The following is a 15,447-nucleotide window of genomic DNA, read 5'->3' as shown; positions in this document are numbered from 1 at the left end:
AACAAGGTGAAACCCCGTCTCTACTAAAAATACAAAAAATTAGCCGGGCGCGGTGGCGGGCGCCTGTAGTCCCAGCTACTCGGGAGGCTGAGGCAGGAGAATGGCGTGAACCCGGGAAGCGGAGCTTGCAGTGAGTCGAGATTGCGCCACTGCAGTCCGCAGTCCGGCCTGGGCGACAGAGCAAGACTCCGTCTCAAAAGAATTTTAAGTGAAACCAACCACTACTTTGTGCTGCATATATGAGAGCACTTCAAAAAGTTCATGGGACAAATTAAATGAAAAGATAAGAAATAATAAATAGAAACTTTCTCAGCATCAAGCTCAAGACACTTTTTTGATCAATGATACCCGCCATTTTAGTCCATCTCTAAAGAACTAAGGGTCCTGGGAATTTTACCATGTCATTGCAATCTTTTTTATTTTATTAACTGAAGACAAATGGGTGCCCTTTAGATTTTTTTTTTTTTTAAGATTAGTAAGCAAAAAGAAGTCAGAAGGAGCCAAATCAGGACTGGAAGGTGAGTGCTTAGTAATTTCCCATAGAGACTCTCACAAAATTGCCCTTGTTTGATAAGAGGAGTGATCCAGGAGCATTGTTGTAGTCATTTTTCTGCTAAAGCTTTGGCTAACTTTCTCAAAATACTCTCATAGTAAACAGATGTTAATTGAGTTTTGGCCCTCTAAAAAGTCAACAAACAAAATGCCTTGAGCATCCCAAAACGCTGTTGCCATGACCTTTGCTCTTGACCAGTCTGCTTTTACTTTGACTGGACCACTTCCTCTTGGTAGCCACTGCTTTGATTGTGCTTTGTCTTCAGGATGGTACTGGGAAAGCCATGTTTTATTTCCTGTTACAATTCTTTGAAGAAATGCTTCAGGATCTTGGTCCCACTTGTGAAAAATTTCCTTCAAAAGCTCTGCTCTTGTCTGCAGCTGATCTAAGTGCAATGGTTTTGGTAACTTTAGGGCGTAAAGTTTGCTTGACTTTAATTTTTCAGTCAGAATTGTGTAAGCTGAACCAATTGAGATGTCTATGGTGTTGGCTATTGTTTCTGCTGTTAATCATTGGTCCTCTTCGATTAGAGCATGAACAAGATGAATTTTTTTCCTCACAAATTGATATGGATGGCCTGCTGCTGTGGGCTTCATCTTCAATATCATCCCTTCTTCTTTTTTCTTTTTTTTTTTTTTTTTTTTTGAAATGGGGGTTTTCACTCTTGTCACCAGACTGGAGGGCAATGGTGCGATCTCGGCTCACTGCAACCTCTGCCTCCCGGGTTCAAGCAATTCTCCTGCCTCAGCCTCCTGAGTAGCTGGGATTACAGCTGCCCACCACCAAGCCCAGCTAATTTTTGTATTTTTAGTAGAGACAGGGTTTCACCATGTTGGCCAGGCTGGCCTCAAACTTCTGACCTCAGGTGATCTGTGCACCTCAGCATCCCAAAGTGCTGGGATTACAGGCGTGAGCCACCACACTCAGCCCTCATCACTTCTTAAAATGAGTTTTTCATTTGCAAACTGTTGATATCTTTGGGGGACTGTCCTCATAAACTTTTAATAAAGCATCAGTGATTTCACCATTCTTCCACCCAATCTTCACCATAAATTTGATGTTTGTTCTTGCTTCAATTTTAGCAGAATTCATGTTTCCCTGACAGGGGCTCTTTTCAAACTGATGTCTTATCTTTCTTAGTGCCTCAAACTAGATCTTGTTAAGGCAGGTTATAACAAGTTAGTAAGAATTTATTTTGGTGTAATATACATTTGAAATTTTTGTATAGTTCTTTCATAATGCATATTTTCTATGAACTTTTTGAAGTCCCCTCATACTTTCTCTTTGTTCATTTTACTAGCGTGTTTGACTAAGATAAGTTTTAAGGACAAAAGTATGACTTGTATGGTTTTTATAATTAAGTATTTCTGTAATATTCCACATTATTGCCAGTTCTGTCCAGGGAGAAGTTTTTCCAGCTCATTCCTGAATAATTGTTACAAACCATTCACATTCATCTAAGGTATTTCTGATAACTAATATCAAAACCTTCAGAATTCAGGGTATACTATGCTTAGCAATATTACTTGGAGCTTCTATTCAAACAGCAGAAACAGATTGTTTTCCTTTATCCAAAATATAATATAAGTTACATCATGTAAAGCAGTGATAACATTTTGGGTTAAACCCCAAATCACAACTTCTGGGTGAGAATCCTTCAAATTTTAATATAATCAGCAGAAGCATTCTAGTAGAGTTTAAAAATGTTTATACCTAAGAAATAGTCACTCCAGATTTGTCAATCTATTGTGCTTAAATATGAAAAATGTGTACATACAACACTTAGGCAAAATTCACAGAATGAGTTCTGTATGAATATAACATTGTGGACAATTTTATCCTATTTACCACATCAATTGATCAAATAAGTTTATGTGAATGTATGCTATCTTGGAAGGCCAAGGCAGGTGGATCACCTGAGGTCAGGAGTTCAAAACCAGCCTGGCCAACATGGTGAAACCCCGTCTCTACTAAAAATATAAAAAATTAGCCAGGCATGGTGGTGCATGCCTATAATCCCAGCTACTTGGGAGGCTGAGGCAGGAGAATTGCTTGAACCTGGGAGGCAGAGGTTGCAGTGAGCTGAGGTCATGCCATTGCACTCCAGCCTGGACAACAAGAGTGAAACTCTGTCTCAAAAAAGAAAAATATGCTATCAGTGTTTTTCACTGGGGAAATTTTGTACCTCCCCCCAGGACACATTTGCCAATGTCTGGAGACTTTTGTGGTCACATTTGGGAGGGGTGATTTGCTACTGGCCAAGGATGCTGCTAAACATCCCACAGTTTAGAGGACAGCAACACCCACCACAAAAACAAGTGATCTCGCCCAAATAGCAAGAATGCCAAGATTGAGAAACTCTGTACTGTAGAGATGATCAATAAAATGTTTTCTTTATTCTCCAGTGATTTTCTTGAGATGTTCTTCAGATTTGGGACATTTTGCAAATGTTAACTTGCATCACTGTATCTGTGGGTATGCCAACAGTCTTACTCACATATGTCACGTCACAGCAGAAAGAAAAGATAATCTCTTAATTGTCATTTTATCTTATTTTCCAGAGCGCCACTTTAACTGCAATTTCTTCACAAAGATTTCTCACCAGGAAACTGGCAGCTGTAATATTTATGATCCGTTTCTTTTTTATTTTTAATTTGTTTTAATTTTTAATGTTTGTGGGTACATAGTAGGTGTATATTAATGATGAAAGTGCGCCATTCCTGTGGCAAATGTTTTTGAATTTTTGATGCAGACTTGTTTTGAACATCTGCTTTGTGCTTTATTTGTACTCTTTAGAATCTTTTCTTTTTGAATAATATGAAAATTGCTATAATGGCTGTGGCTAAACTATGCATTTTTGGTGTGATGGACAGTTACAACTTCTTTTAACACAGGCTTATTTTTAATAGGATAACATTGAATTTGAAAATGTGTGCGTATATGTGTGTGGCTGTTGAAGTTCTGGGAGCTCAGATCTGAGAGCCAGCAAATTTAGATGTATTATTTTATTCAATCATTCATTTTATTGAGAAGTTACTTGTGAGTAGCATTTATTGCACTATTTTTATATTCAAAATATTACTATTTTTAGAAAAGGTACTTATTTTGAAAAATGTTCACTTTTCCTGCTTTTTATACTAACTTTTACATCAAAATACCACTGTGCAACTAAATTTGTGCCCAATTGAACAAATTTTTAAATAAATTAGAACTACAGGCCAAATTGTTACATTAGAAAACACTTAGAAATTGTTACCATTTCTTCTATTTTGTTGCTTCCAGTAAATTTCCTTCATGGCACAATTTACAAAAAGTAATAAATATTGAACATGTATTTAACATTAAAAACACCGCTTACATCCATATACAGTTATGGCTCTTAAAATGCAGACTTTTGTATTGTAGCAGTCTATGAGCTGTCTCTTTTGCAAAATATTTTTCTTTGTAGTAACAGCTTTATTTCAATGTTGGCTGACTATATCTTTTATTCAGGGACTATTTGCTGAAGTATTTGCAACTAGGGGCATTTTGGATGTTTAATGGGAACAAGGAGACCTTATATATAATTAGAATTATTCCATAAGGTCTGAGTGTGTGTATGCATGTGTGTATGCATGTGTGTATATGTAGGTGTATGTGTATATATATACACATATATGTGTTTGCGTTTATATATGTGTGTGTGTGTATATTATACACCTGTGTGTGTGTGTGTGTGTGTGTGTGTGTGTGTGTGTGTGTGTGTAAAGAGATATTTTCTTTGAATTGAGCAAAACACACATCTCCCTTTTCTTCATTAGGGCACAAGATTTTTTCCTATTCCTTTAACTATTCTGTTCTGATACCATAAAAGCCATTCACAATAGGTTGTAGGTGGCTGTAATTTATAATCATTTCAGTAGTAAAATTCATCATCCCTGGGATTATTCCCTCTCTTGTCACACGTTAATTCCTGGCTCCAGATTGTCTTTGCTGTGACTTCATCTGTAAAGATTTGCTTCCCTTTTCAATGTCCGCCTTTTGCTTTCTGGAGATATAACCTTTGTTTCTCAAGATCTGAATGCATGGAATATGAAACTTTCCCCAACTCCACCAGCACAAGTGACCTCTTTCTCTCAACCCTGCAGTTGTTTATCCATTAAAATTACCAATTAAATTTCCTTTTATACATGTCTTGTCTCCCACTAATTGGTAGCCGCTGAGGTCTGAGACAGCACAGCCCATATTCTTTAACTTGACCCTGAGGAGATGCCGGTCTAGCTTTTATTTAGGTTAGGGTTGGCATCTGAGGAACTGTGTTCCTATTGCATGCTGCAGTCATGAGCTAACAGAACGCTTAAATCAAAAGCTGTCAACCTAACATGAAGAGGCATCCACAGAGCTGTCTCTGAGAAGCTTTATTCTTTGACTCACATCTCCAATGTGAGTAATGTGGTTGAAACCTAGCAAAGTCAAAATTTACTTGAAGTGATATGGTGGATCCGGTGCTGTAGATGATGATTGTAGACCTGAAAAAAAGAAGTTACGCGAATAACATCTGCTTTTCTGTGTGATATTTTCCCCCCCAGCTGTTTAGAGAATTAGAAATTGCTCTGTCAAGGGTTTGTTTACAAAAGCCTGGCCAATTTCAAAATGAAGCTGCCTTTGAGTTGTCCCTGTTTCATCTCACTGTTTGGAAAATAAATCTGAACCATTAAGATGTAAATACATCAAGTTAGAAGCCAAAGGCAGTGAAAACCAAGTAAAAGCAAGAAATGTACCACGATTTAAGTATTCTCCTGGGAGGAAAAATATACATGGTAATAATTTTTGTATCTTATAATTTTATTATTAAATTAAGGGGAGAGAAATTTGAAATCAGCATAATATCTATTTTGTGTAGTATTTAACACTGTGATGTATATTGACAATTGATAATGAATCAAAATATGTGCGGGTAACTGTATGTTCATTAAATTAGAGTTTGGTAATGAGATAGAAAGAGAGAATGAGAGGGGTACAGGTGTAAGCAGCAGTTCTCAAAGTGTAATCCCGGAACCATCAGCAGCTGCATCACCCTGAAACATTAGAAATGCAAATTCTCAGGCCCTGTTGAAGACCTACTGAATCAGAAACTCTGGGGATGGGGCCCAGTAATCTGTGTTTTAACAAGCCCTCCAGAGGATTCTGATGCATACTCCAGTTTAAGAAGCACTTCTATGTAGATGGATGGATGGTTGGATGGCTGGCAAGATATGTGGGTACAATGACACATACATATGTAAGTACAAGTATAGGTATGGGTATAAATACAAATATGAATACAAATACAGATATAAATACAGATATTTTGAGAGAGAGATATATAGATAGACATAGATATAGATATAGATATAGATATAGAAATGTGGAGTTACCATCACAGGACTTTTTTAGAGGAGCAAATTATTTCCTTTTACTTATTATATGATTGAATAAAAGCTGTTCTTTTCTCTAGGCAATGGGTCTATCATTTATAAACTGAGAAAATCTACTGGTGGTCCATTTGTTGAACCATTTTCCATTAGGTTCACTTAAAGTGTTTGTTCCATCAAGTCTGCCACCTGGGTGGTTTCCTTCACTGCAAAACTGGTTTGCTCTTCCCTCCCCTCTGTCTTCTTGGCAGCTGCTGTCTGCCCTGGTTCTTATCCATTGGTAGATCTGATTGCTTTGGGGACTGGATCAACAGTTGAATCCTCACAGGATTTTGAAGCCAACAATATCCTACATATTGGTCCATTTTTCAGAATTTCTTCATTTGTGTTTTATCCTTCCATTTTTCTTTCTAAGCATATATAATTTATTTAGATTGGTGCAGAAGTAATTGCGGTTTTGCCATGGAAAGTAATGGCAAAAACCGTAATTACTTTTGTACCAACCTAATAATTTCAGCCAACTATTCATATGCAGCACTGTTTACAATGGGGATGAATAAGTAACAGCTAAATATCTGATAAAAGGGGATGTTTTAAATATAGTAGATTGCAAAATAATATGATACTTTTTGAGAAGAAAATTTCAATATGCAAAAAATATAGGGGATAATATTCATTAAGACATAATCAATGATTGTTGGATTATGGATGATTTTAATTTTACTCATTTTGCTTATTTTTATATTTATGATTACATTAGTTGTAAGCTCAAATTGCTGTTATAAGCAAAGATAATGCAGATTTATATGTATATATATAAAACAGTAAAATAAATTGATTGTATTTTTTATCTTCTTCCTTTCCCCACTATGCTATGAACTTAAAGTCCAGCAATTATGCCAGCTGTATCTATTCATCATTTTTCACATTAAAAGCAATATTGCTGGATAGTAGAATTAAATGACAACTCTGCTTTTGGAAATGACAGGAAGTCTGCTGTAAATAGATAATTGATGTAGACGTTAAAGCCAAATAGAATTTCCATTTATGGAGAAGGGAATATTTAAGGGTATGTGGCTATAAGAAAATATTTCCTTTTGCTTTTAACACAAGATGTAACATGACTTGTCATGCTCAGGATGTGTTTTGAAGTGGATAATGGCACTTTCCCTAATATTTGGAGGCACCGGGCTTGATCCTCTTTTGAAGGCCTTCCTTTGAAGATAAACATAGACATTGGTTTTAGCTTAATTCTCCATCCCTAAAATTCCTTCCTGCTCTAAAATTCTATAATTCCATAACAACAGTGTATAAGCAATAATTATGAAATGGAAAAATGAGCCATTCTACTTGCCATCCTTCATGTAAAGCTGTACTATGGAATCCTGCTCTAAGGTGGGGCCGGTGTCATTTCTCCAAGCAGTATGATGCCCTGGAAGAAAGCAATGTACAGTGGCCTGTGATTCTGGACCTTGGATCACTTTGATGCCCTTGGCTTATAATAAAAGCAAAATCCATTTAAACCACCTTAAATAATTAGGAATTTTAGAGGCTCATGTCACCAAAATCCATAAGTATGTAGGGTTTCATCCAGTGACTTGACCTTTTTCCTGCAGTGCTCTTCATTTTATGTCCCTCTAAGTGTCACCTCTAGGCTGATAGCAACAGAACCTGTGGCAGTTTGGGGATAAATATGACGATGTCTAAGCTAGTGTTTCTCAACTGTGGGTGACCACCCCAGGAGACATCTGGCAAAGTCGGGAAACATTTTTGGTTGTCACAAGTGGAGAGGTGCTACTGGCATCAAGTGAGTAAAAGCCAGGGATGCTTCTAAACATCTTCGGTGTGCAGGACAGCCCCACCAGAGAGAATGATCCAACCCAAAATGTCAATAGTGCTGAGTAACTCTGGCATAGAAGAAGAAAGGTTTCCTCTGCCTATAACTCACTTACATTCTAGGAAACATTTCCAAAGGCTTCCAGCCACATTTCCCTCACATGCTGGTGCCTATAGTACAAAAGGCTTTAGGCCTGGGTTCTGAGATCAATCGTGGGTGGGGAACAGTATTACCAAGATCAGCTCACTGAGCCCCAAAATGCATGTGGCATGTCCATGCTATACACTGTCAACCAGAACAATAAATACCCGTCATATAATAGTACTATTTTGTTATTAGCAAGAGAGGGGAATTCAGGCATCATTACTATTCAGCCCTAAAAAAGAAGAAATTCCTGTTATTTGCAACAACATGGATGAATCTGGAGGACACTGTGTTCAATGAAATAAGCCAGGCACAGAAAGCAAAGACAAATGCTGCACTTTCTCACTTACATGTGGAATCTAAAAAAGTTGAACTCATAGATGCAGAGACTAAAATGGTGCTTTCCAGAACCTGGGGGTGGGGCTGAGGGTTGGAGAGATGTTGGTCAAAGGATGCAATATTTTACTTAGACAAAAGGAATAAATTCAAGAGATCTATTGTACAACATGGTTACTATAATTAACAGCAATGTATTTTATTTTGAAAATCACTAACAGAGTAGATTTTAAGTATTCTCACCACAAAAAGTGACAGCTATGTAGGTAATGCATATGTTAATTGGCTTAATGAAGACATTTCACAATTGTATATGTATGTCAGGACATCATCTTGTACACAATAAATATGTACAATTTTTATTTGTTAATTTTTTAAAAATCCTGTGAACTGCTAAAGAATAAACATACTCTCCAAACCTTTCTGTGGGATTTGGGGAAGTGTTTCTTCACCTGTATTTTTTTCTGGGTTATCTGCATTAATATCTTTCTAGAAAAGGATATGACTGGAAGTGGCTTATTGACAATCTGGATTTTCCCAAGAGAAATTACCTTCAACCAGGAGAGATGACTACTTTAAAGAAGGGCTTTGCAGAACCTATGTCTTTACTGAGTCATTCAGCAATCCAAGTGAGAGATGATGATAGCTTGGACCAAGATGGAACCATTGAAATTATGAGAAGAGGTCAGATTCTGACATATTTTGAAGGTACAGCCAACAAGATTTACTGACAGATTGACTATGGATTGTGAAATGGACCCATTGGTGATAGAGAGTGGAAGTTTTGGCCTGATCTACTGGAAAAATTGAGTTGCTATTGACTTAGATGGGGAACACTATAGAGAAGAATATTGAGAAGAAGTTGAAGAACTCAGGGAATTCAAGAAAAAAATGTCCTAGTTGGAGATATAAACTAGGTAACTATCAGTGCATAGATGTCATTTAAAGATACAAGGTTGGTTAAAATCACCAAAGAGGAATTGCAGATGAAAAATAAAGGAGATTCAAGAACAGAGCCATGGTGAATTCCAACATTATGTTACATTCAGAGAGGTGATAGACACTCAAAAGAGTGTGGCATCCACAAAGCTTATTCTCACATTTGTTAATTGACGTCAAAAACATGGCTGGTTGTTTTGTTTTTGTTTTTAACTTAAGCTCTTTCAAATTCTGGAATTTGGGTATCTTTCCCTAAAAGAGAAAAAACAGCCTTCGTCTTTTGAGCAAGCCAGGAAGCCTCTTCCTGCCGTCAATTATTAATTTTCTTAACATCCACTTATCATCTAAAACAGGGGTTCCCGACCCCCGGGCCGCAGACCAGTACCAGTCCATGGCCTATTAAGAATGGGACTGCACAGCAGGAGTGAGCATTACTGCCTGTGCTCCGCCGCCCGTCAGATCAGTGGTGGCATTCATTAGAGTCTCATAAGAGCGCTAACTCTATTGTGAACTGCGCAGGTGAGGGATCTTGGTTGCAAGCTCCTTATGAGAATCTAACTAATGCCTGATTATCTGAAGTGGAACAGTTTCATGCTGAAACCATCCCCGCCGCACTGTCTGTGGAAAAGTTGTCTTCCACAAAACCGGTCCCTGGTGCCAAAAATGGCTGGGGTCAGCTAGTCTAAAACATAGCGAAGCTATGGGCTAAGGAACTTACCTTGCTTTTGTTTTTCCATCTGGGCAAATGGTTCATCCTGCCCCTCCAGGGTGAGAAATGCCTGTCCCTTTCTCTCAATCTGTATATGCAGGCTAACAAAAGATATTTTTCAGAGATGATTTATTTCACCAGAACGATTATTGATAATTTGCATTTATGGACACTTGGTGATCTTATCAATATTTTTATGTTTTCTCTTTTTTAGCTTTTAAGTTCAAGGGTACATGTGCAGGTTTGTTACATGGATAAACTTGTATCATGGGGTTTTGTTGTACAGATTATTTCCTCACCCGGGTATTAATCCTAGTACCCATTAGTTATTTTTCCTGTTCCTCTCCCTCCTCCCACCCTCTACCTTCTGAGAGGTCCCCAGTGTGTGTTGTTCCCCTCCATGTGTCCATGTGTTCTCATCATTTAGCTCCCACTTATAAGTGAGAACATGCAGTATTTAGTTTTCTGTTCCTGTGTTAGTTTGCTAAGGATATATACCATGGAATAGCATGCAGCCATAAAAAAGAATGAGATCATATCTTTTGCAGGGACATGGATGGAGGTGGAGGCCATTATCCTTAGCAAAATGTTTTCCCTTTTTGTGGGACATTATCTTGAATTTCTCAGAAATCAACCACAAATTTAAAGAGTGAACACTGGATATCTATTGCAAATTTTTCTAAAATAACATACATAAATCTAGCTATGAGAAAAACAGCTTTCAATTTTTATTTTGCATAAGAGTTTCTTGGAAAGTTTCTTAAAATGCAGATTCCTTGACATCAGAAGTTCTGTTATGATCAATTTGGGACTGGACTCCAGCTGGTCCATTTCATCCATCCCACACCATTATCTGATTACAGGGCAGAGGATCCACAAGCTGTTCAGGAGCTCATATAAATTTCTGCAAGCTGAAAAGGAAATTATTGACTCCCAAAGTAATGATGTAAATACTCACCTATATATCTAAAAACATAGCAAGTGCCAATTTCATTGTCAACTAGTATTTTTAACAATCTCATCACATGTAAAAACAATTCGTAATGTACATTTTGTTCTCTTAACAAGTATTCCTGAACACGCACAATAATTACTTAAAAAATCACAGCCAAACGAGAATCCGATGAATTACTTATTGCCAAATCATGTCAAAATCAAAATTGTAAAAATTCTTGATAATACAAGGAGATGAACCTCAAAAGTAAGTGCTTAAAATAGCTCAGAGCTCCTGGAACTCACTTTTAACAAAAAGTAACCCCAGGTGATTCTGTATTTGATCTTTTGCCCACACTTGGAGAATCTAAGGTCTGTGTGGGGATGCTTCATATCATCAAAGCGTACTTGTCTTCCTTCAATCATTTATCAAAATTCTTAGCACCTAAACCTAGCATCTTAGCATGATGCTAGATTATAAAAATACAGTGATAAACAATCTTTCTAATTGTGAAGCCTCCAGCCCAGTAAGAGAGACAGCCAATAGACAAATGCACAAACAAGTAAAATCAATTATAGGTTGAGATAAGTGCTAAGAAGAAAATCAACAGTGTGTTGAGATCAAGAAGCCAGGAAACATTAATATCAGATTGGGGAAGTCAAGGAAGGCTTTTTGAGCAGATGATATTTAAGCAGAGACCAGAAAAAGGAGGAGCCAGCCCTGTGACTGACGCCTTAGGAAAGCAGTTCAAGCAAAGGAAACAGCATAGACAGAAACCCCTAATCAGGACCCAGCTTGCCTTGTCCATGAGTGTTTGAAGAACAGGAGGAAAGAGAGGAGGCATGAAAGGTGAGGCTAAGGAAGTTGGTCCAGACCCTTTGACATAGGCAAGTTCTATGTGGATGGATTTTATTCTAAGTGCAATGGAAGCCCGTTGATGATCTTTGCTTGCTTGTTTGTTGTTATTTTTTTAAGGTTGGATATGGTGTGGTACTTTGTGTAGCAGTTGAACACATAACTCGAGCCAGACTGCCCAGGCAGGAATTCTGGCTTTGCCTCTTATAGGCAGAGTAAAGTTGAGCATGTTCTAACCTCTCTTCACTCACTTCCTCATTGTAAAATGGAAGTAATAACAGTACCTACCTCTTAAGGTTGTTTAGCAGATTTAATAAATATGTGATATGCTCTATGTATGTCTCAAAATGAAGAATTGTCTTTAAGAAGATTACTGTTATTTCCCCCATGAACAAATTGAGTAAGGACAAGAGCAGATGGCTAGGTTGTCTGGAAGGCTGCTAAATTTGTTTGGGAGAAATGTGATGGGGGCTGGAATTGGAGTGATGAAAGTAAAGATGGAGAGGAGGGGTCAGATTCCTGATTTATTTTGGATGCAGAGTTGACAGAAGTTGGTAATAGATTAAAAGTAGAACATGCAGTGAAGAGGAGAATAAAGAAAATGACTTAGTTCCTGGCTCAACTAACTGGGTGGATAAAAATAATCATTATTTAATAATAATAATAATCATCATCATCATCCACAACAACACTGATTAAGCGAGTGCTGCATACCAGGCAGGCATTGTGATAAATGCTTTGTAAACACCTCTAAAGATGTGGGAGGCTAGGATACCAAAACATTTGCCAGAAGAGAAAGTCAAGAGTTCATTAGTGGATAAGGGAAGTTTGAGATGACCCTGAGACACCAGGTAGAAGGGTCAAGAAGGCAGCTGGATAGTCAGCTCCATAAACACAAAGATGATTGGTTTGGAGATAGTATTTGAGAGTCCTGAACTTTGCAATGGGATTTACCACCATGTTTTTTTGTATAATGGCTTGGGCTGTTACGATAATATTTTTGTCTTTTTTGGTCTAATTCTTTTTAGTTCAAGACCTGCTTTGTAAAAACCTTAGTGTCAATCAAATTTTCAGTCAGTTCTCCATAGTGTAAAATAAAGTATTGCATTAACATTTCTGACTCTGAAACAACTCTACTGAACTAAACTACTTAATCTGAAGTTTGTGTTGTGTGTGTCTGAAACATTTCCTCATCAAAATTCAAAGAAACTTTAGTTCAAGTTATGGCCTGAAATCAACAGAATTATATTAATTCATATGGATATAGAAAATCATTTATTTACAGTATTTAAATTGACATTTAAACAGTTTTTCCAATCCCACACAGTTAGTGGCATAAGGTCTTGAGAAAGCATGAAACATTTTTTTTTTATCAGCCTCATATTTCGTTGAGCTTGCCAAACACAGTTCATTTTCCATAGAAATTTGCAAACCTGAGTAGTGGCCAAATTTTCAGAGTCGCTGAATGTAAGCCAATGAATAAAATTGTTAAACCCTTTGATTTCCCCCCACTTTTTTCCCTTAAAAAGTAACATAGCGTGTGCCTGAGTTTTATTTTTTGACATCTATTACCCACAACACTCGAGTGTGTTTCAGAATCAGCCTGTATGGACATTTCAGTACAAAATGAACACAGCCGGCGCTTTGGGGAACGTTCATTTGCAGCTTTGTTATCCTTAGACAGGAAGCCTTCTCCTCCACACTTTGATCGACATTTTTCAGAAGGCAATGGCATCAACCTTTAAAAATGGATACTTTCAAGGGTTTAAAGGTTGAGATTTTTAAGACAAACCCAGAATAGGCAAAAGTTACATATTGGCCAAAAATGTGACTCCAGAAACCATGTGTTGTAGCTAACTGGGGCCACTAGCAAATCTTTCTTTTGAGACTTCTGTCCTGTTAGCAGAATGCACTGATCGAACTAAACCTTGAGCATGACACAGGATAGAACTAGTTATTGTTAAGAAAATAATGTTCAAGGGCATTGGTCCATTGTACCCAGGAATAGTTTGGAAAGATGAAGGATATGGAAACAAACAAGCAAAAAAAGAAGAATTAAAATTAATAATTAAAATGTCAGTAACTGTAATGTATTTCTCTTAGTGGATGATAAAATTACATAAGAATGTCGACCTTTTCTTTAACCCAATGACCATAGTGGCAGTCTCTTCATTGGACTGCTTCCTTCATTGGCATCGCCTTCTAATTTCATTTTTACTTATGATAGTGAAAATGCACAATGGCCCCTGGAGGCAATACCCTAATTTTTTTGTTTAAGTGCTCAAAAAAGTATATCCTTTCCCTGCGAAAAAGGCAGAGGGTCACAATTAATTACTGAATTTCAGCTATGAAAAACCCACTGAACTGTGAGAGTCCATTGTGCTTAAGTTGCATTTAATCTCTTTGGAGATGCCAACTACCTGATATACAAGAGCAACTGTAAGTTCCAAAAAAACTCTCACAGATAGGAACCATAGACATGGAGAGAAGGGAGCCACTACTCAGAAATGAAGGAGTTGGGGAGGAGTGGGGCTGAACCATGAAGCCAGAACAGAATTTTTGTCAGTGGCCTAGAAGCAAAGCTGAGAAGAAGGGTCTGAATGTGCTGGGGACCAGTGGTTGTAGCTCCACACTGAGATGGAAGCCTCCTCTCACTGTAGCTTCTGCCAAAACACATAGGTAAATTTGCAGGAGTAATGGTGACCTCGGAAGAGCCTGGTGTAATTGGGGAATGATTGTTGCAAGGGAATAAGAGCCAGTATTTCATTTGGTCTTTTGTGTCTGGCATTTTTCACTCAGTATAATGTCCCCAGGGTTCATCCATGTTGTAGTATTTATCAGTACTTCATCCCTTTTTGTGGCTGAATAATATTCTATTGTAGGGATATGACACATTTTGTTTATTCCTTCATCTGTTGATGGATTATTTGGGTTGTTTTGACTGTTTGACTATTAAGAATAATGCTGTTAGGAACATTCATATGCAAGTTTTTGTGCAGACTTACATGTTTTTCATGTCCATATTTCTTGGGTATATACCTAAAAGTTGAATTGCTGAGTATAATGGCAAATGTATGTTTAACATTTGGAGACACATTCTCACCAGCACTATGTAAGGGTTCCACATCCTTACCAACAGTTTTTTTTTTTTTTTAAAGCTATCCTAGTGGGCGTGATGTGATAATTTTTTTTTTTTTTTTTTTTGAGATAGAGTCTCACTCTGTCACTTAGGTTGGAATGCAGTGGCACAATCACAGTTCACTTCAGCCTCGACCTCCCTGGGCTCAGGTGATCCTCCCACTTCAGCCTCCCAAGTAGCTGGAACTATGGGCACGCACCACCACACCAGGCTGTTTTTTATTTTATTTTAATTTTTGTACAGACGAGGTTTTGCCATGTTGCTCAGGTTGATCTCGAACTCCTGAGCTCAAGTGATCCGCCCACCTTGGCCTCTCAAAATGCTGGGATTACCGGCATGAGCCTCACTGTGATTTTGATTTGCATTTCCCTGATGGCTAATGATATCAAGCATCTTTTCATATGCTTATCAGCCATTTGTATATCTTCTTCAGAGAAATATTTATTCAGATTTTTTTTCTTATTTTTCAATTAGGTTGTCTTTTTATTATTGAATTGTAAGAGTTCTTCAGATTCTGGATACAAATCTCTCATCAGATATGTGAGTGAGCATTTTTTTCAAATGATTTTTTCCCTCCAGCAATCATACTGCATTTCTACCATCTACTG

At 37.5% G+C, this 15,447-nt stretch overlaps 1 protein-coding gene and 1 non-coding gene across 5 annotated transcripts in view; both read left to right on the top strand.

Annotated features, from left to right (window-relative positions):
- ARHGAP6 (Rho GTPase activating protein 6) overlaps positions 1 to 15,447 on the top strand; it is a 528,377-nt gene that overhangs the window by 340,856 nt on the left and 172,074 nt on the right. The gene's annotated exons all lie outside the window — the stretch shown is intronic.
- Positions 6,379 to 6,451, top strand: MIR548AX (microRNA 548ax). The gene has a single exon (NR_049865.1). It is a non-coding gene; the product is annotated as a microRNA 548ax (primary transcript).

Source organism: Homo sapiens, chromosome X (genome assembly GCF_000001405.40).
Source record: "Homo sapiens chromosome X, GRCh38.p14 Primary Assembly".
NCBI classification, from domain to species: Eukaryota; Metazoa; Chordata; class Mammalia; order Primates; family Hominidae; genus Homo; species Homo sapiens.
The sequence above is the reverse complement of the archived record's forward strand: the minus strand, read 5'-3'. Positions and strand labels throughout refer to the sequence as shown.